The 25,437-nt window shown below is 38.3% G+C and overlaps 1 long non-coding RNA gene across 1 annotated transcript; it reads right to left on the reverse strand.

Annotated features, from left to right (window-relative positions):
- Positions 1-664: 664 nt before the first annotated feature.
- LOC105376403 (uncharacterized) lies at positions 665-14,663 on the reverse strand. The gene is made up of 2 exons (XR_930647.1): positions 14,233-14,663; positions 665-1,457 (listed from the first exon to the last, which is right to left on the reverse strand). It is a non-coding gene; the product is annotated as an uncharacterized LOC105376403 (long non-coding RNA).
- Positions 14,664-25,437: the final 10,774 nt, after the last annotated feature.

The raw sequence follows: 25,437 nt of genomic DNA on the forward strand, positions 1-25,437 counted from the left end.
TCGTTGCAATCAATCTGATGAGAGCACTCTGAAAGCAATATTTGCTTCTGACTCATTTTACTTTCCCAGAACCTGTCACATAGTAGGGATTGGTGTTTGAATGAATGGAGGAATGAATGAATGAATGAATGAATGGAGGAATGAATGAATGAATGAATGAATGAATGAATGAATTCAGTTCCTTTCTATCCCGATCTTGGCAAACTAAATTGCATGTGCTCTCTTTCTACTTTTACTTATATGTTCAGGGGCTGCTAGGTATTCCAATAGTAATGAATTTGGCCCCTGTCCATTCTTTTATTAAAATAAAGCAGGCTTCCTGCCAAACCTGACTTTAATCTTAAAAATCTCTGTCTTCAGAATAAACTCTTGCCCTCTGTCCTAGCCAGAAAAACTTCAATCATCTTGCTTTTATTTTGAGGAAGAATTGCTCAATCATTTTTTATATATGAAGATTTCCAAACCCCCAGGAACTTATTAAAAATTAGATCATAGATTTAAAGGGGATTTGATAACAAAATCATTCCCTAATAAATATCAAAATATTACTTAATGCAGTTGTCCTAATTAGGCATCAAAAATTAAGTTTTTGTTAGATACACAACAGATTGATACCTGTACTGTGCTTAATGGTCTGAAAAGTGCAGTGGAATGACCAAATTTCTTAGTATGCCACATACATTTAATGAAGAAAAGTTGCACATCTCTGAACTACATTTTTTCATCATTTTTGTCTAATTTAAACTATATTCAGAACTGTACAAATGTTGCCATCATTTCTTTCATTGAAGCATTTACACATCTGCAGTTGAAGTTATTTCTTGCAAACTTGATCTTTATTAAATAGATCTGATTTATGTTCTGCAGGCTTAAGAAAGGTCAAATTAATTTCATCATCGTTTCACTTTCCACTGGCATCTGTTGTGCAGCATGGTACTGCTGTTATAAATAAGGCTTCCTCCTAAGGAACAACATGGTGTCTTAAATTATATCCAGTGCCACAAATGATTCCAACTCCAGTTCTAATCAGGCTCCATGGCTCTGGCATGTCACACAGGGCTCTTTTGAAATTTGTTCTAATATGTCGTATATTTCAAAGAATTGTGCATCAGAAGTTGACTTACAAGAGAAAAAAAACTAAAAAACAGCACAAAAATCATATATTACTCAGGACAAAGAAGAAATTGCAAGAATAAACTGGCTTTGAATATATGCATGAACATATGTTTAAGACTCATAGTTTTGTAGACTCTATCATTTTCAGTTGCCTGTATCTGCCTACTGTAACCCATCCGTTTTGCCCCAAATCAGTAAGAGCTCTTGCAAGCAAATAAAATGTCAAAATACTTTTCTTGGTGTGGTATGGCTGATATAAATATGAAGATCCTCAAACTTGAAGTACAAACGAAATCACCTCAAACTGTGTATCAAACTTTAAAAAGTTGTCCATCAACAAACTGCCAAAAAGAAAAAGGAGAATTAGCTTGACTTAATTCTGGAATTAGTTTTTCTATTGCAGATTTATTATTTTTGCATTATATTTTCCTACTGGTTATTTTATTAATGTAGATAAATTATTAATTTGGCCTTATTATTTTGAAGCAATTTCATCATCTTACAAAACTTTTATACTTTCTAATTCCTTTTTTAGGAGATTGCCTTGCATGTTTTCAGCATCAAGACATCCTTTGAACATGATGGCAAATTTGTCTATTTTTCTTCCAAACTTTTTAAATTCAATGCCCGAAATCACCAGAAATTATAGTGTAAAATACCAATCTTTGGTTCTAGCTCCCAAGTGTAAATAAAATGATATCAGTAAATATACTGAATACTTATTGCACTTGATAACTTTTTAAGGAATCACCTTAAGATAAACTACCCCTATTTTAATATGTAAATCTTCTTAAAATTAAGAATGGGTCTGGGCACAGTGGCTCACACTTGTAATCACAATGTTTGGGAGGCCAAGGTGGGAGGCCCCCTTGAGGCCTAGCTTGAGGCTAGGAGTTCACAGACCAGCCTGGGCAACATAGCAAGACCCCATCTTTACAAAAACATAAAACAATTAACTGGGCAAGGTGGCCTACACCTATAGTCCTAGCTACTCAGAAGGGTGGGGTAGGAGAAGCACTTGAGCCTGGGAGTTTGAGGCTGCAGTGAGTTATGATTGGGCCACTGCAGTCTAGCTTGGGTGACGGAGCAAGAAACTGTTTCTTAAAAAAAAAAAAGAATGATTTATGAATTTTAACAAGTGCCGTTCAACAGTTATTGTAACAGTATATTATTTTTCCTTTGACCAAAGACAATAGTGAATTATAGCTGTGTAAACTTATAAAATCAATAATGGGAGAGACAGGAGTCTGTATAGGGCAGAAGAGCTCCACAAAAGAGGGCTATCTTCCACCTGGAAAATCATAGTGATTATATAGGAAGGCCTTCTCTGAATAATTAATTGGATGCAATTTCTTGATCAGCAATTGAATTCCTCGTTTCATAAGTATCATAAGGTTAACTGCAAAATGGGCAGAAATGTTGGTGATTCATGGAATAAGTCCCAAGATGTGCTTGCCTAACCAAAGAATAACCAGAAGTAGACAAAGAAGTGGCAAAATCAAATGGGCAAATAACATACATTTGTTGGAGCACTAAGTAAGCATAAAGGTAACTTTCTACAACCATTAGAATACTGATGTCACTGCCGCCACCATCCCCCTTCACACAGGGACCACCTAGCAACATGGCTTTTAAAAAAGACTCATGAGAGAATTCATATTCATCATGAATTACTTCAACTGGAATGAAAGGGAAAATTATCGACTTTATGATTGGAAATTAACTGCAACATTAGCTAATTTGCCTGGACATGCTCCCAGCTACCCCGATTATTTCTCAAGTGGAGTAGAGGGAGACAAAAATAAAGGGAAAAAATCATGAATGCTTTGTACAATAAAAGTTGTGTTGACATGACATGTAGAACTCAGCGAGGATGTGTACATGACACCAGAAAGTATCCAGACTGCCAATATACACCATTTATGTACCATTGTAACTATACAATGAGCAGGAATTATGAGAATGAAATTAATTTCTGGAACATTGTGTTGACTCTTGAGGCAGGAATTGGAACGTAACCAGAAAAAAAGGCTCTTTAAGAATATGATGTGGCTTAAGAGTTGAATTAGTTTCCTAGAAAGAAACTTTGTCAAACTATTAGGTACTTTTAGCCATTCCCAATTATTTTCATGCCCAAGAAAAGCCACTATAAACCAGACAAGGTAATTTTCACTGCCACTTGGCCAAAGCCTCATATAATTTGCTGCAACTGCCTAAGCCTCCATTTCCTCCTAATAATGGGGCCTTAATCCTGCCCTTTGCAGGGACAGCGGAAGTTATTTATGATCCCTAAAGCACCACTTCAAAGACGATTCTAGAGAAATAAAAAACGTCGAAAAAGCACTTGCACACCACTTACCAGACCATGCGGGACTTCTTTACCAAACTGCACAAGATTCTGCAGCTTTGGGATAAGAGGATTTTTCAATCCATTTTTCGGTTCAACTTTGTCAGAAATGTACTTTTCTATTTATGCACATATTTAAACTGTCTAACATCATGCATCTGAAAAATGACAAAAATGTGGACAAACTTGGGAGGTAAATGAAGAATAATAGCATGGGTGTAACTTGGGAATCCCAATGCTAATAATGAATAAGATGTTGCCAGAAAATGCACGAGGAAATGATCGGAATCTCAGTCCACAAACTCAAGTCTTTTTTAAAAAAAGACATTACTTTTGTTATTTACTTTAAATAAAGCTAATATGACTCTGACAACATATCATACCATTTTCCAAGGACATCTTTTCTTAGATACTATTGTGGCTTACTCTCCCTATAAAAAGTCAGGCTGTAGGAAGCCAATATGGAGCCCATATATGGGGAAATGGATGAAATTTCCAGTTCACCATGCTTTCTGCCGACATTCATATTTTTTATTTTTTCAACAAATCATTTTAGAACCCATTAGCATATAGCATAGAACTTTAGATTGCAAATTTTCCTAGACAGTGAATCTAACTTCTGGCACCAAATAACTGGTTAACTTTAAGAGAGTCACTCAATTTCTCTTTTCTCAGTTTTAGTTCGGATGGCCCAAATGGCACATCATGAAACTTTATAAACAGCAATTGTGGTACACTGATGTCTTGTCAAGTGGAACACAGACTGGATTTCCTGGGACAGCTAGAAAAAAGCTCCCTGAAGATGCTAAGTTAGAGATGGACGCTGCATAAGGAGAGAGATGAAAGGCAAACCGTCTCAGACAGAGGGGAGAGAACATGACACAGCCTGAATGAAAAACAGGGATGCAAATAGGATGAGAGTGAGAGGGCCCCAGGGCGAGTGTGGAGAAGCAGGCGGGGATAGAAGTGAGAAGTTTTAAAATGGGGGTGACTTTGAACTGATTTAAATTAAGCAATAACATAGGCCGGACACAGTGGCTCACACCTGTAATCCCAGTACTTCAGGAGGCTGAGGTGGGAGGATCACTTGAGGCCAAGAGTTCAAGGCCACCCTGGGCAACACAGTGAGATCCCATCACCATACAAAATAAAAATACATTAGTGGACGTGGGAATGTGTGCCTGTGGTCCCAGCTACTCAGGGGCTGAGTCAGGAGGATGGTTTGAGTCCAGATGTTTGAGGCTATAGTGAGCTATGATTGTGCTACTGTACTCCAGCCTGGGTGACAGAGCAAGATCCTGTCTCTTAAAAACAAACAAAAACAAACAAAAAATCAGTCATATGTATTACATAGAAAAGACTGAAGGAAGGCCAGCATGGGAGAAGATAAGAAGCTACAGTAGAGGGCCGGGCGCGGTGGCTCACGCCTGTAATCCCAGCACTTTGGGAGGCCGAGGCGGGCGGATCACGAGGTCAGGAGATCGAGACCATCCCGGCTAAAACGGTGAAACCCCGTCTCTACTAAAAATACAAAAAATTAGCCGGGCGTAGTGGCGGGCGCCTGTAGTCCCAGCTACTTGGGAGGCTGAGGCAGGAGAATGGCGTGAACCCGGGAGGCGGAGCTTGCAGTGAGCCGAGATCCCGCCACTGCACTCCAGCCTGGGCGACAGAGCGAGACTCCTTTTCAAAAAAAAAAAAAAAAAAAAAAAAAAAAAAAAAAAAAGAAGCTACAGTAGAGAAGATAGAGAGTGGTTTGTCCAGGGCAGAAGAAGTGAAGATGGCAAAAGTGAACGGAAATGCATTGGACAGGGCAACAAGACAGGGCCACTTTCCAGGTGATTGGAGAGTGGCCAGTGTTGGCCTGAGGGGGGGAGTCCAGAATGACTCCTAGATTTTCATCATTGTTACTGAGCAGGTGGCAAAATTGGGAATACCAGGGGAAACATTTCTTTTGGAGGACAGGGAGCTGTTAAGAAAGCAAGTGTTCCATTGACAAAGCATCTTCATTGTCTATGCCCACAATGTAACCTTGGAGCTTGGTGTGCTCTTCTGAGGACTAGAACCCTGGAGAGCCTGGGGGTCCTGGGATTCCCTCTCTTTAGAGGATCTCAGAGTGGTTCTTCATTTCAGCCTTGTCAAGGAGTGAGGTCAGGTTTGCTAGACCTCACAGGTTAAGACCCACAGACCTCTCCCTATGTGAACAGGAGGCAGCTTCTTTCTTCTTCATACTTTGCTCAATTGTTTCTGTCTCCTTCCTCTACCTTACATGGCTCAAAGGGATTTTTGCAAAACAAAATCCAGGAAGTATTAGAGTAAATTTCTGCATTGGGCCCTGCTTCTTATCTCCTCCAAGCTATGGAGAAACTGTTTGACAGCACTGTTACCTCTTTACTTGGGAGAAAGGAAATAAGAAACATATGACTTATTTGTGAAAGGCCCATATGTGCATAGCAACCCACAAATGCTAAAGGAGCTGAGAAACCAATGAAGGAGGCAGACTAATCTAGTGTGTTGGTATTGGGTGATTTATGAAGAGAACTTACAGACAGAAGCATGGTCTTGGGTAGCTGTAAGACAGGTAGATTTCTGCACTGTTCCTTCCTACACTCAGGGCTTATCTACTGTAGGGAAAGGGTTTACGTGCTCCAGCAAGACAATGAAAGGCAACCTTCCAGAACAGGTAAGAATGCTATATGCATCATTGTCTATAATTTATGCAACAACATCAGTGTTACTCTGATCCATGTTCTTACCCTAGGGACAGTAAATAAAGTAGGAATCAGGAGGCATTCATGGGACTGGCGCTCATCAGAGGTTAACATGGTAGATTAGCACCCAAGATGAAGTTGCTTTTGTCTCCACAATGGCAAAAGTAAACATAGATTAATATCCAAAAATATTCAGCTCTGTTGAATATGAAAAGAAAGCATCTTTCATCTCCTGAACCCCTTTCTCTGTTAAATAATACCCCTTAGGGGATTTTACTCACAATTTGCCATCAGCTTTGGGCCTATGACACTTTATTTTCCCACTGAGGGCCCCTTAAAATATTTATTCATTCAATAATTCCAAGCTTACTATTGACTACCCACTCAATAGTAAGCTTGAATGTATTGGGATACTGTCTATCTATAATCCCTGTGTCCTGTGCTAAAGCCTTTATACATCCTCACATTTGATCTTCAACACCACCCTCATCTCCAGCCTTCACCTGTGATTAAAGAAACTCAGGAATTTAAATCAGCCATTCAAAATTATTAAATCAGATGTTCATAATTAAAATTATTGGGTTAGGCAGTGTACTTCCTGCATCACCCCCATTCTTATAATCGAGAGAAAGAAAATATTCAAATAGTGAGTGGCATAAGGGAAAGATACTTGGCATGAGTAGAGCATATCATCGAAGGATTTGTGCCTGTGTGAGATGTCAGGAGGGCTTCCCGGAGGAAGTGGCATATGTATTTTGCTAGTGGAAATCTTGACGATAAAGAGCTATTGACACACAAATATGAACAACGAAAACAATGGGATTTAAAGGAACTTGAATTTTACTCCACTTTTGTAGTCACCCTTAAATAATTCAAATAATTATACTATCATCAGGTGGCAGTCTAATTAAGTAGAACTGTGGCTTTATTCATAGGGCATGTGCCTTTGAACAGCTGGTTTAAATTTCCTGAGTTCCTTTACTTAGAGGTGGAGAGTGGAGATGAAGGTGAAGCTAGAAAATTAAATGGGATGATATAGAAAGGTTTTCAGCACAGGTCATAGGGATTATAGATACACAGTAAGTGGTAGTTCTCTTTCATCCTTCCCCACTTTGTAAACCTAGTTTTTTTTTTTTTTTTTTTTTTTTGAGACTGATTCTTGCTCTGTCACCCAGGCCAGAGTGCAGTGGTGTGATCTCTGCTCACTGAAACCTCCACCTCCTGGGTTCGAGCGATTCTCCTGCCTCAGCCTCCCGAGTAGCTGGGATTACAGGCAGCTGCCACTATGCCCAGCTAATTTTTATATTTTTAGTAGAGATGGGGTTTCACCGTGTTGGCCAGGCTGGTCTCAAACTCCTGACCTCAGGTGATCCACCCACCTCGGCCTCCCAAAGTGGTGGGATTACAGGCGTGAGCCATCGCGCCGGGCCAACCTAGTTCTCTATTTACTCTCTTGCAATCAACATGTACTAAACTCCTGCAAGACATTAATATCCATGAAGGCAGGATCTGTGTTTTCATTTCAGATTCATCAGCAGGGAGTTGTTGCTGGATTATGCACATCTGTTTAATAAATGTACTTGCATGGTTGGTTATTTATTCGCTTTAATAGACCAGGGGCAATTACCGCAACTGACCATGATGTGAAAAAACACATTTAAAAAAAGAGTATAACACTGATTCTTATTTCTAAGACACAGAAGATGGCAACAAATTGAAAGCTGACACGCGAAAAATGCCCAGGGTTTGACAAAACCTGTGGAAGTATGGTGACACACACCTAAATTGCCATATTTGTGTTTTTTGAAATCTTAGGCATATTTTATCTTGAGCTTGATTTAAACTGCTTCTTGACATAGTTACTGCTTCTATGATGTAATATGAGTCAGGCAGAATGACATTTCTGGGACTACTTTGTTTTCCACATTTAATTGATTTTTTTTTTTTTTTTTTTTTTTTTTTGGTTAGAGACTGAGTCTTGCTCTGTCGCCCAGGCTAGAAGGCAGTGGCGTGATCTCGACTCACTGCAACCTCCGCTTCCCAGGTTCTAGCAAGTCTCCTGCCTCAGCCTCCAGAATTGATTTTTTTTTTAATTTTAATTTCAATTTTTTTCTGAGACAGAGTCTCGCTCTGTCTCCCAGGCTGGAGTGCAATGGTGCAATCTCAGCTCACTGCAATCTCCACCTCCCGGTTTCAAGCAATTCTCCTGCCTCAGCCTCCTGAGTAGCTGGGATTACAGGCATGTGCCACCACACCCAGCTGATTTTGTATTTTTAGTAGAGACGGTGTTTCACCATCTTGGCCATGCTGGTCTCGAACTCCTGATCTCAGGTGATCCGCCAACCTTGGCCTCCCAAAGTGCTGGGATTACAGGCTTTAGCCACTGTGCCCGGCCACAATTAATTGATTTTTAAACATTCTCAGAAAACAAGACTCTTTTGAAATATCTCTATAAATGCTGCTGGCGACATTACGCTGTGTCCACTTTAGTGTTTGGTTGAACTTGTTTCTAGCCTTCCAAATCAGGTCCAATAAAAACATATTGGAGGAGAGAAATGGAATATCCCAACCAATGTTTACCATCCAGATCACTTTCAAAGAACAGCTCACGCTAGATAAATGTAAGACAAAACATTGTGCAGCCCCAACTGTTAAAATGATGGAAAACAAATCTCAAGGCATTAAAGGTGGCAGCTCAGAGGATGTCTTTAACCAGATACGTGTAACTTTATAAGTTTTGTGTAAAGTGTATTTGCTTATTTTCATAGATATGTGTTTTTAACTAGATTTTTATCCTTGTAGATTAGTCAAATGTTTCCTAAAATCGAACTGAAGCTTTCAATGCAGTGATCTGAGGCTCTTTTATGTTATTTTTCCTCGTGAGAAGATGGAGAAGAATTTGTCAGCATTCTCCATATACTGCTCCTCCAAACGAATGTGAAATCTCCATTCCTTTGGTTAAATACAGTTTAGGGATTCCATTTTGTATCTTTTCTTTAAAATGTTGTGGCTGTGCATGGTGGCTCATGCCTGTAATCCCAGCGCATTGAGAGACCAAAGCAGGAGCATGACTTAAGGCCAAGAGTTTGAGTCCAGCCTAGGCAACATAGCAAGACCCCATCTTTCTAAAAAAAAAAAAAAAAAAAAAATTAGCCAGGCATGGGGGTGCACACCTGTACTCCTAGCTACTTGGGAGGCACAGGTGGGAAGATCCTTTAAGCCCAGGAGTTGGAGGCTGCAGTGAGCCATGATGACCACTGCACTCTAGCCTGGCAGACATAGGGAGACTCTGTCTCAAAAAAATAATAAATTGAGGCCAGGCGCAGTGGCTCACGCCTGTAATCTCAGCACTTTGGGAGGCTGAGGTGGGCAGATCACAAGGTCAGGAGTTCGAGACCATTCTGGCTAACACGGTGAAACCCCGTCTCTACTAAAAATATAAAAAATTAGCTGGGCATGGTGGCATGTGCCTGTAATCCCCACCTACTCGGGAGGCTGAGGCAGGAGAATCTCTTGAACCTGGGAGCCCGAGGTTGCAGTGAGCCGAGATCGCACCACTGCACTCCAGCCTGGGCGGCAGAGAGAGACTCTGTCCCAAAATAATAATAATAATAATAATAAAGTAAAATGTGGAGGTTAAAACAAGGCAGACTATTTGAATGACATCTAGCCAATTCATAGTCATGTGAGAATGGATGTCCAGCCCTCTGGATCTACAGTTCCCAAGCACCTGCAAGCCTTGTATCATATCACTGCTCTGCCCAGTTATCTCCACAGGGAGTGTGTGCTTCCCAGGAAGTACACTAAGTAATTCATTTGGATGTGGGAAAATAAAAAGTAAAGTTCTTTTTAAAGAACATTTTAGCTGGGTACAGTAGCTCACACCTGTAATCCCAGCACTTTGGGAGGCGGAGGCAGGCGGATTACCAGGTAAGCAGATCCAGACCATCTTGGTCAACACGGTGAAACCATCTCTACTAAAAATACAAAAAATTAGCCGGGCGTGGTGGTGGGTGCCTGTAGTCCCAGCTACTAGGGAGGCTGAGGCAGGAGAATTGCTTGAACCCGGGAGGCTGAGGTTGCAGTGAACCGAGATCGCACCACAGCACTCTAGCCTGGGCAACAGAGCAAAACTCCATCTCAAAAAAGAAAAAAAAAAGACATTTTAAAATTAAGAAATAATTTTGTATCTATAGAAATGCGCTCATATTTAGTGTACAGTTTGATGAATTTTGACAAAAGTGTACACTTGTGTTACCCACACACCTCCCAAAGCACTGATTGTTTCTGTCATTCTAGAAAGCTCCCTTTTGCCCATTTCCAGCCAAATATACCCTTCCCCAGGCAGCCACTTTCTAACTTGTATTGCCCTAGATTTGTTTGGTCTGGATTCAAGCCTCAAATAAGGGGTATCATAGCCTCAGTGCTCTGTGTATCTTGCAGTTAATTTTTTTCACACAGCACAAATCTTTTGAGATCCATCCATCGCTGTTGTCGGAGATATCAAATGTTGCTCTTCCTGTTGCTGGATAGTATTCCACAATACATCACAACTTGATAATACATCTGTTATTGCCGTACTTGTGTTTAAGTCTACCATTTTGTTTGGTTTCAGTTTGTTCTGCTATTTGTTCCTGTGTTATCTCTTTCCTCACTTGTCATAGATGAAGTTTTACTGTTTGTTTTAATATTTTACTTTATGTACTCTTTTGAATTTTTAAAAATTTTGAAATAATTATAGATTCATGGGAAGTTGCAAAAGTAGTAAATGGATTCCCTGTAACAGTAACCTCGCTCCTCCCAATAAGAACATCTTTATGTAACTAGAATATGATATCAGATCCACAATGTCAACATTGGTACAATCCGCAGATCTTATCTGGATCTTACCAGTTTTATATGCACTTTGTGTGTGCACACGTGTGTGTGTGTAGTCTTCTGCAACTTTAGCACATGTGTACGTTCATGTAACCCATCACATTCAATAGAGAAATTGCTCCATTACCACAAAGATCCTCCATGATATCTGTTTACAACCAGACGTGTCTCCTTTTCCCCACATACCCAAGCCCTGACCATCACTACTGTGTCCTACATCTCAATAATTTTGCCCTTTCAAGAATGTTATATAAATTAAGTCGTTCAGTGGGTAATCTTTTGGGATTAGCTTTTTAAATTCAGAACAATTTCTTTATGATTCATTCAAATTTTTGTATTATTGCTAGCCAATTTTTTTTTTTTTAAATTTTTGAGTGATATTCTATTGCATGGATGTACCACAATTGTTTAAACTATTCACTCTTTGAAGGTCTTTGGACAGTTTTTAGCTTTTGGCTAATAGGCCACTTGTATATAGACATAAGTTTTATTTCTCTGTAATAAATGCCTAGGAGTGAAATTGTTGGGTTTCATGGAATGTATATGTGTAGTTAATTTTTTTAAAAAAACTGCTAAACTATTTTCCAAAGTAGCTGAGCCATTTTACATTCCTACCAGCAATGTATAAGAAATTAGATTTTTCATAGCTTTACTAGCATTTGGTAATGTAACTTAAAAAAATTTTTTTAGCTGTTCCAATAGTTGTGATACCTCATCGTGGTCTTAATTTGCATTTATCTAATGGCTAATTATGTTGAAGATATTTTCATGTGCTGAATTTACATTTAAATATCCTCTTTGGTAAAATGTCTGTTCATTTCACCTATTTTCTAATTGGACCTTTTAAATAATATCTTACTGTTGCATTTTGAAAGTTCTTTTATATATTTTAAGTATAAGTTATTTGTCAGATATGCAGTTAGCAAATGCTTAATTCTGTAGTTTGTAGTCTTTTTATTCTCATAACACACTATGTTCTAGAACTAAAGTTTTATTTTTGATTACATGTAGCTAATTGATTTAATTTATGCCTCATGGTTTTGGTGTCGTATTTAAGAACTCTTTACCAAACCTTAGGTCCCAAATATTTTCTCCTGTGTTTTCTTCTAAAGGTTTGATATTTTTAATGCTTTACATTTAAACATATAATCTATTTTGAGTTAATTTTTGTACAAGGTGGGAAGCTTAGATCCAGGCTTCCTTCCTCTGGCCCCCATGGATGTCCAGTTGTTCCAATACCATTTTTGGAAAACATTGTCCTCCTTCCACAAAATTGCTTGTGCACATTTGACAAATGTCAGTTGATTGATCATATCTGTGTCAGTCTGTTTATGGATTCTCTATTCTATTTCATTGCTCTATGGGTCTATCAGTTCCCCAGTACTACAATGTTTTGATTAATGTAACTATATACTAAGTTTTGACATCTGGTCAATTAATTCCTCTCACTTTCTTCTTTTTCCAAAATTGTTATAGTTATTCTAATTAGTAATTCTAATTACTAATCTAATTATTCTAATAACTAATTCTAATTAGTTCTAAATTTTTTCAAATAAGCTTGCCTATATCTAAAAAACAGCTTTACTGGAAATACAATAGGAATTGTATTAAACCAGTACGTAAGTATGGAATAGAATTGACGTATTATGTTGAGTTTTTTAATCCATGTATGTGTTATACCTCTTCAATTTTAAAAATAGAGACAGGGTCTCACTATGTTGGCCAGGTTGGCCTCAAACACCTACTTTCAAGCAATTATCCAATCTTGACCTTCCAAAGTGTTGGGATTACAGGTGTGAACTACTGTACCCAGCTCCATTTTTTTATGTTCTTTTATTTCTCCCACCATGTTTTGTAGTATTCAGCATACAGATTTTGTACATGTTTTGCTAGATTTATACCTAAACAGACATTTTTTAATATTTTCAAAGAACAGTTTTGTGTCTTAGTAATTTTCTCTGTTTTTCTGTTTTCTATGTCACTGATTTATACTCTAATATTTGTCATTTCTTTGTTTCTTCATGCTTTGTGTTTATTTTGCTCTTATTTTCTAGTTTCTAAAGATGGAAGCTTAGATTCATTTCTTAGAACATTTCTGTAATATAAGCATTTAATGCAATAAATTTCCCTTTCATTACTGCATTAGCTGCATCCCACAAATTTTTGTTATATTTTTATTTTTATTTAGTTCTATTTTATTTTGTTCTGTTTCATTTCCTTCGAGACTTCTTTTTGACCTATGAATTAGTTTCTAGTTTATAGCTATTAAGAACAAAGATACTATAAACATTAATCTACATCCACATGCAAATAAAAATGAGTCTATACACAAACTTTACACCTTTCACAAACTTCTTAAATCTGCGGTTTTATATATGTTGCCAAATTTGGAAACTTTTTAGCATTATATCTTTAAATGCTTTTTCAGTCCTATACACCCCTTTTCCTCTCCTGTAACTTTGACAATATTCGTATTAGATTTTTTGTTATTGTCCAACAGATCTTTGTGGTTCCATTCATATCTTTTCAGTTTATTTTATGTTGTTCACATTGTTAATTTTATTTTTTTAATTAAAAAACCCCACTGATTCTTTTGCTATATTCATTTGCTATTGAACCCATTCTGTTCGGATATTGTATTTTTCAGTTCCAAAAATTCCATTTGGTTCTTATTTATATCTTCAGTTTCTTTGCTGAGAGGTTTTCTTTTTCTTTCCTTTATTTTAAGCCTGTTCCTCATTGCTCCTTGAGGCATTTTTTAGATGGCTGCTTTAAAGTTTTTGACAGACAATTCCAACATACGTGTTTTCTCTGTGTTGGCATCTGTTGTTAATCTTTTCTCATTCAAGTTGAGGTTGTCCTGGTTCTTGGTATAATGAGTAATTTTCAAATGTATATGGGATATTTTACATAGTATGTTGTGAGACTTTGGATGATCTTTCTTTCTTTCTTTCTTTTCTTTCTTTCTTTCCTTCTTTCCTTCCTTCTTTCTTTCTCTTTCCTGTTTAAGTGAAGTGTGCAGAGGCAGATTGGGGTAGATGTTTACCTCTGTTGACATCAATGTGTCAACAGCTTCCCACTGCCTCACTGGGCCAGGTGGGGGCAGAAACCCAGCTCTCCAATGGGTGACATCCACACAGGAGGCAGGGGGGAAGTAACCTGTCCACTGGCACCACCTCCTACCTGCTCATTCAGCCTTGCTGTTGCTGTGTGACAGTGCGACTTCCACTCCTTCTGAGTGAGCTGTGAGTAGCACCACCTCCTCTTGTTGTCTCATTCTGCTCCTTTGCTGCCAAGTGTGGGGAAAAGCTCCATTTCCCTCTTTTTTCGCCAACACCAGTGGAGGTGGATGGAAGCAAAGTGCTGACTCTCACAGCCTCACTCTGCTCATTTTACTTCATTATTGTTGCATTAAGGTAAAAGTTCAGCCCCTATTGGTCCCTCCACTGACACCCCGCGATGAGGGGAAGCAGACAGCCACCCAGCATTACGTTGTACCACCTTGCATGGCTTTATTCTGCCCCATTGCTGCTGCCAGGTGGGGACCAAAGCTCAGCTCTCCACTGGGCTGAGTCAACACCAAGGAAGGGTCAAGGGAGGAGTTACTTGTAGCACCTCATTGCTCCTGGGAGAGAGGAGAAGTTCAGCTCCTCCTTAGATCCCATTGACAACGTCACAATGCAGGAGATGATATCACCAAATTGGTGTTCTATTTCTTCTACATCAACCTTGTACCAGTCCCTTCACTCCAGGAATCAAGGTTTTCCTGGGGCTTTGACACTTATTTCCAGTCACCTGCTGGGGGTTCTAGATTACAGGTTTTCCCAGTGCACCATGTGGTACACATGGTGTCATTTCTAACGTCCTGAAATTCCTAGCCAGGTTGATTTTTTTCCGTCCACATTTCAATGTTCCTGTGTTTGTTTCCTGTAGTATGGCCAGAGTTTTTCAGTTATGACAGAGAGAAATAGCTTGCAATGAGTCTACCCCTACTTAGACAGAACTGGAAATCCCTCTATCCACTTTCCCATTAAGCCTTACTTGTTATTTTGTAGTGGTTGCTCTAGAGAGTATAATATGATCTTTAACTTATCACATTCTATCTTCAAACAATATTCTGCTTCTTAATTAAAAATGTAAAAATCTAACAACAGTATGCTTCTAATTACCAGTCTCCCAAACATTGTACTCTTATGAGCATATATACTTTTTCTAAGAATAATTTATCCAACATATTTTACTGTTTTTTTTTTTACTTTAGTCAGTAGCCTTTTTAACGATTTAAAGATAAATATATAGACATAGAGAAATGTTTTAAATTCTTCATCCCCTTTGTCCAACATATTTACTTTATCATGTGTGTGGGTTTAAGAACCATCAGGTCTGTGTTTGGGTTCACCAGAGAAACAAAACCAATAGAATATATAAGGATATGAAAGAGATTTATGATGAGATTGGCTCATGCAATTTTTGGAGGCCAAGGAAACTCATCTGCATCGTTGGCCATCTGCAAGCTGGAGTACCAATAAAGCTGGTGTGGTCATTCTGTCTGAGTTCAAAGGCCTCAGAACCAGGGAAGCTGATGGTATAACTTCCAGTCCACTACCTTATTGCTAGCATTTTTATCTTATGTACGTATGATTGTATTTCATATCATAAATGAAGATTCTTGTTATTCATATTATATCTATTTAACTTCCCTCTTTCTATTGGTTAAGAAATCAGCTCTCTAATTTACCAATATAGCAATGGTACTTAATGTGATCTGCTGTTAATGAATACTTAGAATACAACCCAATTATAGCTATATAATTTAATGTCATTTAACCACTTGATGCACCCAGTGTCATTTCTATTTATTTAGTTAATCAATACACTGAAAGGCACTCAGTATTGTATTAGATTTTTCCAGGGGCCTTTATGTGTCTCTGGTTCAGACTTAATGTATGAAAAAATGTTTTTAGAATTGATCAGCTTACAACTTCTGCAGAGGTCAAGATTTTCCAACCCCATCCTCCTCCTTGCTTAGCACATTTATAAATCAAATGTAACACATCGTAAGAAGAGGACCTGGGGTATGGGAATGTAGGTAAAGATTGTTTGGTGGCTGGGTAAAAACAAGACACCATCTTTTTTTTCCTTTCAATCTCGATAAACTGTAAGTTTCTAGGGCCTAGGAACTTAGAACCTGGCCCACCATAGGTATTTAAGGAATGCCTAGAAATCTAGAATGAATGTTAATTGAATGGATACATTTATCAGTGAGATTATTAATAAAGAACCCAAGAGGCCAGGCATGGTGGCTCACGCCTGTAATCCCAGCACTTGGGGAGGCTGAGGCCGGCAGATCACCTGAGGTCAGGAGTTCGAGACCAGCCTGACAAACATGGAGAAACCCCATCTCTACTAAAAATACAAAAAATTAGCTGGGCGTGGTGGCACATGGCTGTAATTCCAGCTACTCGGGAGGCTGAGGCAGGAGAATCGCTTGAGGTTGTGGTGAGCTGAGATCGCGCCATTGCACACCAGCCTGGGCAATAAGAGCAAAACTCTGTCTCAAAAAAAACAAAAACAAAAACAAAAACAAAAACCAAGAGAGGAGAAAAGAATGGTATCTGAGGTCAAGTTCCCCATTTCCCCAAAGCAGACCCTGAGAGGTGGCTGCATCTGCAAGTGACTTATTAAGGAAGTGCTCTTAGGGAAACTCATAAGGGAGCGGGAGAAACAGGTCAGGAGAAGAAAAGAGTCCAGCCAGGGTGAGATTTCAGCAAAGTCCCAGTCTCAGCCTGGCTGCAGGGAGACCTGGAGCGTAAGTCATGCTGTGGGATTTTTTTTCCGATTGGAGGCAAGGGTACTGGGCATTCAGACTCTAACTCCTGTACCTGTGCACTCCAAGGGGTAGGGACTGGGGATGTAAACTCCAGTGTGGCCAGATCTTTGGGTGGAGGCTAGGTGCTTTCTGTAGCTCAAGGGAAGGACACCTAACAGTTTCAGGTGTAGGCAATTTGAAACTAAGGCACAAGGATACCAGAAAGAAGCTTATTGAATAAGTAAGTGATTCTGAAAGACCTGAGCAGAATGTGGATTATATCTACTACCAGTGGCAATAGTTACTTGATAACAAAAAAGAAACAGATTAGATACTGTAGGTAGCCCAGTGTGGACAATAGACAGGACAGGGAGGTGTTTTGACAGAGTGAAGGTAGGGAAAGAAAGGTCTTTGTGAAGAATTAGTGTACACTGATATACCAGTTATGCACTTGGTAACAGTAACGAAGGACTCATCAGTATATACTAAATATGGACTTTGTTATTTTTTAAAAATATGTAATATAGGTAGGCAATATACAATATATATAATGTAATATGCAACATGTATATATATATGTCTGTATATATAACAGAATATGCTCTCTCTCTATATATTGTTTTAAGAGATAGGGTCTCACTCTGTCACCCAGGCTGGAGTACCTTGTCACACTCATAGCTTACTGCAGCCTTGAACTCCTGGGCTCAAGCGATCTCCCCACCTCAGCCTCCCAAGCAGCTGGGACTACAGGTGCTCACTACCATGCCTGGCTAATATTGTATACTCTTATTCTTATAACTATTAGTAAAAGTAACCAAAACATATATATTTATCTCATTGACTACAAGAGAAAGTAAAATTGCTTTTGGCCAAACCAGTAAATTCTCTGTAAACTCGGAAGGTTTTTAAGATGCAAAAACATTCATGAATAGATTCTACTCCACTCAGTTCCCAGTCAGGTTCATCGTAGACTTCTGGTGTCTTCTTGGTGATGAGCTAACGCAATTAGATGCCCAAAGCCTGTCTTTTCCTTCTTAATAGGCTTCTGGGTTTGCCTACAGCTTTCTTAGCTGGAGAAGACTGCAATTCGCTTGACAGCCATGGGTTATTTATAGAAAACTGGCTTAGGAGCTGCAACCTATATAAAACTGGGCTCTTTTATTTCCTGTATGAAGATGTGTTTGCTGAAAATCTATATGTGTTTGAATTGTAAGGTGGAAGTTGACATACTGCTTCCCTTTTTATCAGGTTAATATTCCATGTTCACAAAATTGTAAGACAAGTTTTAACCCTCAAAGTTAGCCCTCCCACAAGAAGTTATAATTACTATTTTTGACTTTGCCCTGTCACCTTTATTCTTCATCTCTTCTCTCACGTAGTTCTTTTCCCTCTGGAAGGCTGGTTTTTATTCCACCTTTTCTTAAGTAAAGAATTGGCTTTAGTTCTAAATCAAGTGATTGTCTAAGTATGGCTGACGCATGCCTGACCAATTTCCTGATCAGGTGCATTAGCTAAACTGCTGTAATTTATAAAGTTAAGGATTAGTACCACTGCACATCAGCTTCTTTCAGTCTTTGTATTATTTAAAGATACAGTTCAAATTGTGTGTCTCAGAACTTAAAAATTTAAACTCTATAAAATAAAGAGGTTCTTTGAAATCACAGGTTGAAATTTTTTTTTGATTTTTTTAAAATTTTTAGGTTGATCATAGTCATTGAAGTAAAACTTTTTTGTGTGTGTGATTACTTTCAAAACGTTAGTTATTCTAAAATCAGGTAATTTTCTCTCACCTTCCTTGTCTCAAAATGTGCCTAACATTCATTAGAAATGTCTTCCTTGTTTAAGTAGAGTACTGGCATATTTCTGCTTTTTAGATCCCAAATCTATTTTGGACTATTCAATAGGTGTAAAGTCATTCTGCTCTCAATTATAGACCTTAAAAGCATGCACATTTGAATACCCTCTCTAGGCCTAAGGTCCTCATTAGTAATTGAGGATAATAACATGACTTACCCATGGATTTGTGGGGATTAGTGAAACAATGGCAGTGAAAATGCTTCCCCCATGAGAATTAGTATTATTTCAGTCACATTAATCTTTAAATGCAAACAAAATTTGAATACTACTCTTGCCACCATGACCTAGAAAAATATTGAATATTCATTATTAGATATTTGTGGCAAATATCATTTACTATATCTTCCCAACTGCCAATGACTTATTGATGGCCTTTATTCAAAAGCAACCGAGCCTCTGACAGCTATGTTTAAATCTCAAGATCTGCATCACCCTCTGTGACATCAGATTTTCTTCCCCTAGGAGCTGAAATGAGTGATCACCACTTAGTCTCTGTGGTCCCTTGAATGGTGAATATGAAGTCTCTTAATTGTTGGGTACACATGTATGTGAAGCATTGACAAATCTGAGTCGCAAAGAGAGATCAATAAGGTAGAAAATGAGGGGTAAGCGAAAACAAGAAATGCAGAGAATATTTCTGTAGTCTGTATTACAAATGGCTTTGCTGATCCCTACCTCTGGATCTCTTCGTGCCTCCTGGATGCCCAGAAACTAAGTACTATGCTTTATATAAACACTCCCACCCCACCCACAGCCCTCCTCCTCCTCCTCCTCCTCTTTCTTCTTCCTCATAATTTTTTTTTTTTGGCCAAAGCTAATTTATGTCCCTTTGCATTACTTGAAAACTTCCAACCACAAAGAATTTATGATAGGTATTTCTTGATTAACCAAGAGATATTTGAATATTTGCAAGTAAATTTTGGAATGAGAGGAATCAGATTCATATTTATATTTTGCTCACACTAATTTCATGGATCTACTTTGTGTGGATCATTTTTGCAAATTTTGATTAACAGTATTAGCAACACTTAAAAGGTCTATATTACCATCTGTATTTTACAATGAGGAAACCAAAGCTCAAAGAGATTGAATTCCTTTTGAATGTCACATCCATGATATATGTGATTCAAATCCTAGTGTCTTCCAAAAAAATGGGCTTGTCAGAAAAAAAGAAAAAAAAATCCTAGTACCTAGACTTTTTCCACTTAATTATCCTGCAATCCCCCTGAAGGGCTCAATGGAACCAGAACAAAGATTTTATGAACAGTCTTCTTAATTTCATATATATGGGGGTGCTTGTCATTCAAAGCAAGTGGTGATCACACCATTTATGTTCACAGGATTATAGAACACAGAACTCTAGGTATTTCACATTAAATCCGTGGCTGGCAACATTCTGAAGCTACCAAACTTCCCCTTCTCTTCTTTTTTGTTTCAAATCCTTCGTGATGGTGGCTGCCTTACTTGGGTGACTCAGTGAGGCGGATCTTCTACCTAGCTCATGGTGGCCAAAGTACACGGTGCCTCTGATACAACGAGGTCCAACCTGGGCCATATATGTATTTATTTATTGCTATTTCATAGCATTATCAGGATAATCAATCAATCCACTTTCATTCATTTTGATTATGTTTTGTAGATGTCAAGAGTCAATAAGAAAGCAATGTATAGAGCTTTCCGGTAAATCTTTCGACTCATTATGTTTTCTGGTCAACCCTACTGAGGAAATGAAACACATGCCCAGCTGCTAATCAAGCTGCAATGTTCTCAATGTAACAACGGTTTCAACAAGACTGGTGGAATTAGATCAGATCAAACTGCAATCCTCCAAATGACTAATTTACTTTATTTTGAAATATCGCTACTTCTTCGCCAATTTCAATCCTAGCTCCACTGTAATCTTTACACTCCGAGAACAAACATTATTGCAATATCAAATTTCTGAATTCTACTTGCTTCTTGACAGCATCTAAACCCTCATAAGGCCCCTTTCCCTAGACCTTCATCAGAATCATCTAGCACAAATCTAAACCCTCCCTTCCCATAAGGATTGCCCTTCCTGTAAGGATTGCCCTTCCCACCTTTCTCTTCCTGAGATTTCCCAAAACTCCACTGAAGCATATTCTCCACGCTGCAGCAGCCAAAGAAGAGTAACTTTTAACTTTACGTGGCTACAAGTATGTTCCTAGTGCTCTTCGGTTGATGGGCTTCAATACGACAAAGACATACTTAACACTTCTTATTCCTTTGAGCCTGATGTCTATATGTTTACATCTGGAGTTCTTGTTTTCTTCATGGTAAATTCCAGATCTCCTTGAGTGAGTAAGGTGCTTACTTATTTTTTATTTATTTATTTATTTTTTAGATGGAGTCTCACTCTGTCGCCCAGGCTGGAGTGCAGTGGCGCCATCTTGGCTCACTGCAAGCTCCGCCCCCCCGGGTTCACGCCATTCTCCTGCCTCAGCCTCCCGAGTAGCTGAGACTACAGGCGCCCGCCGCCACGCCCGGCTAATATTTTTGTATTTTTAGTAGAGATGGGGTTTCACTGTGTTAGCCAGGATGGTCTCGATCTCCTGACCTCATAATCCGCCCGCCTCGACATCCCAAAGTGCTGGGATTACAGGGATGAGCCACCGCGCCAGGCCAGTGCTTACTTCTTAAAGCCCAAATTTATGCACATTTTAGTGAATATTGATAGTCTATGCCCTAGTTACTACCTCATTGATGGTAGGCACCCCTTCTTTTACTCCTGACGTTTCTTGGTGGAAGCGATTCTGCCAGTGAAGAAATGGGAAAGGAGGAATGCAGGTACTTAGGCAGGAATCCACCAACCATGAAGTTGTTGCCCCTAGCAATTTGCTTTGTCCTGTTTCAGAAACTCACACATCCTATGCAAGGCACCTCCAGCTGGTTATATGAGAGGGAGTTTTATTTTAGTTATTGTCTTTTTAATCTCTCCTGTACCAGCTTCATACCCCTTTACTTCCTTTATGTATTTATTTATTTATTTATTCCTTCATTCTGTGAAACCCAAAGAGCTGCTCTCAATTCCCACTAGAGACTTTAATAGCACTCAGGTTTTTCTGCAAAGGCCCTCCACCCGGTTGAGGTTCCCAGAGTGACGCTCTGGTGGGAATGTTCTTCTGCTACAGCCACACTAAGCTTTACAGGGGTAGCACGTGAAAAATTATACACAGAATTATATATTGAAGACTTTATTTTAAAAGCCCCTTCTGTAATTTCTTTTTTCATTTATAATTTTTCCACGTTATTTTAACTTAAAATGCAGCCAACTTTAATTGATATAAGTTCATCCTTATTGATGTTTGGGGTTTCTTCTCATTTCAGCATACTTTCTCTTGGGGCAAGTTTTTGTTTTTTTAATTCCCACAGAATTTCTTGAAATATACACCTGTGTTCTTTACAATATTTTATGACTCAATGCAATATTTTATGACTTTGTGTTATTTTTAGTATGAATAAAATGTACGTTAAATGTTGGAATTTTTTAGTTTTTTTTTCTCCTATGAGCTTGTATTTTGATGTTTTAATCATCACAAACTTTGCAAAATCTAAACATCTGAGGGAAGGGGTAAAGAAAAGAAAAAGAAAAACCTTGTACTAAAACAAAACCACATGGCAACAGGATTTGGTTTCCTTGTGTTGGGGAAGAGGGATCCTACATTTAAAACTTTGATATGTTGATAGGCACAAAATGATCCCATGTTGTCTATTCAGACAAGAGATAGCAAAGCATTAATTGATGGGCTAGTAGCTTGGATTCATTCATTTCATATTGTCTTAATCTTGACTATTTTTGTAATCTGTTAAAGCACAGAATAATTCTGTTATTGTGCAATTTAATGTTATAACCACCTGCCGGGTATAGATTATGTTTGAAAGCACACCCTAAAGTAATTTGAAGAATTGTAAAGTAATAAAGTAATTTGAAGTATAACCCAGGGTCATTATTATAGTTCATTTGGATATTTACTTTGAGGAACTATTGCTATTTCTAGGGCTGAATTTGCACAGATGCACCAGTATGGGAATGAGGGGAGGATATGAGAAAAAAATTGAGACTATTTCCAAGTGGCTTTGGAATTGGAGTTTGTGAGCTCCCAAGAGTGAGTAACACCCTTCAGTCTAGTTGTCTGGGTCTGGGAGGAACTGTTCAATTTGGCCAGGGTGTTGTAAGAAGTAAACTGAGACTTGTCCAGCATTCAAAATTACCGTATTTCATAAATTCTAAAATGCCATCCTTTTGTGATTTTTTTTTTTTTTTTTTTTTGCTACAGAATCTCACTCTGTCACCCAGACTGGAGTGCAGTGGCAAGATCTCAGCTCACTGCAACCTCCGCCTCCTGGCTTCAAGCGATTATCCTGCCTCAGCCTCCCAAGTAGCTGGGATTACAAGCATGTACCACTACACCCAGATAAGTTTTTTTGTATTTTTAGTAGAAACTGGACTTCACCTTATTGGCCAGGCTGGTCTCGAACACTTGACCCCAAGTGATTCACCTACCTTAGCCTCCCAAAGTGTTGGGATTACAGGCATGAGCCACTGTGCCCAGACTAAAATGCCATCCATTTTAAAACAAACTGTTGTTTTATTCAAAACTAAGAAAATAATTTGCTGCTAGACTGTGGAACACATCTTTATTACCACTTATAATCTTTTTATGCTTAGTCAAAGAGCTATTTGATGTAGACATAAGTTTTTAAAAATTATTATTGTATATTATTCTTTTGTATATATTAAATGAAAAATATATGGAAAGTACGTTAGTTAATGTGTTCTTAAAATATCTTCACATTCAAAATTTCTCTCTTTTAAATCAAGTTGGGACCCAAAGGCATCAATATCAGGGGTCCTCCCCCTGTGCCCCTGAAAAATAATCCCCTGTTCCATCAAGGTTCTCGCTGCAATATTTCTGCAATGAGTCCACACTGTCATCTCTTATTTCAAGACTAGTTAAAATGCTAGTTAAAATGGCACTTTTTTATCTTGGCAGAATGTATTGACAATAACACGTATTTCCTGACTACTATCTAGGGAACAGAGACTGTATAAGTCCTGATTTAATAAATGTTATATATTTCTAATTCATTATTTTCCTCTTTATTTTTATCATCTTGAGGAGTTTGGAGAATGAAATAACTTCTTAAGAAACATCTTAAACAAGTCAGTTCAAGACTATCTCTGGTGAGAACTAAATTATTTACTACTTTAATTTTCATAAGCTTTCTCACCATTAGTTTTATCTACAGGTAGTATGTTTTGGTTGACCAAAAACTTCAAGTATGTAGTTTTCCTTTATGCACATTTGATTTCCAAATTCTTTGTTTCTTTGTGGAAGAGAGTAAAATAATCCCTGAACTCGGCCATTCTGCTAAGAACTTGGAATGCCTTGTTTTGACTTCCTCTACTGGACTCTGTTTTAGTGTTCAGAGTTAAATTTCCTTTAAAGAATGCGCTCAGATCCCAGTGGTTTTCCCAGTGAGTTTCTGATATGTCAAACTTACTTTCTCACTTAACATTAAGGAATACACAGGCTAATTGTTAAGAATTACAGATAACCCAGGAATTTACAAATACTATAAGTCATATATACAGAATGAATCATACTTACCCTTTAGAACTGCATGACTTATCACCCAATGTATTTTTGTTTAATTTTTATTTTTATTTTAAGTTCTGGGGTACATATGCAGGATGCGCAGGTTTGTTACACAGGTAAATGTGTCCCATGGTGGTTTGCTGCACCTGTCAACGCATCACCTAAGTATTAAGCCCGGCATGCATTAGCTATTTTTCCTAATGCTCTCCCTCCCCCAACCCTACCCACCAACAGGCCCCAGTGTGTATTGTTCCCCTCCCTGTGTTCATGTGTTCTCATTGTTCAGCTCCCACTTATAAATGGAAAATACAGTGTTTGGTTTTCTGTTCCTGCATTAGTTTGCTGAAGATAATGGCTTCCAGCTCTATCCATGTCCCTCCAAAAGACATGATGTCATTCCTTTTTATGGCTGCATAGTATTCTACGGTATATATGTGCCACATTTTCTTTATCCATTCTATTATTGATGGGCATTGGGTTGATTCCATGTCTTTGCTATTATGAATAGTGTTGCAGTGAACATATGTGTGCATGTATTTTTGTAATAGAATGATTTATATTCCTTTGGGTAGATACCCAGTAATGAGATTGCTGTGCCAAATAGTACTTCTGGTTCTAGATCTTTGGGGAATCACCACAGTGTCTTCCACAATGGTTGAACTAATTTACCTTCCCATCAACAGTGTAAAAGTGTTCCTAAGGAAATATTACATTATTTTTTAAAGGTACATTTTAGAGTCAATGAAAGATGTTGTTAGCTCTCCTTCCTGGTATCTGTGCTATAAGATAAGTGGTTCCAAGAAAGAAGTTTCAGACTAATTCTCCCACAAGTACATATATTTATTAACATGGCGAGGCAAGGAAATACAAGTGAAATGAAATCCCTGTTAGGCACCCTGGAGATTAGAATCCCAACCTAGGCCTCCATTTCAAAGGGAAAGGAAAATGAATCACTTCCATCATTATACACTATTCAGACCACGATGGTAATGCCTGCAACATTTCCATCCAATCCACATATCTTTAACATCACTACATTTCAACAATAATTAAAAAAAAAACTATTTCTAACTGCCATCATGCTAATTAAAATACCACTGC

Source organism: Homo sapiens, chromosome 10, assembly GCF_000001405.40.
Source record: "Homo sapiens chromosome 10, GRCh38.p14 Primary Assembly".
Taxonomy (NCBI): Eukaryota; Metazoa; Chordata; class Mammalia; order Primates; family Hominidae; genus Homo; species Homo sapiens.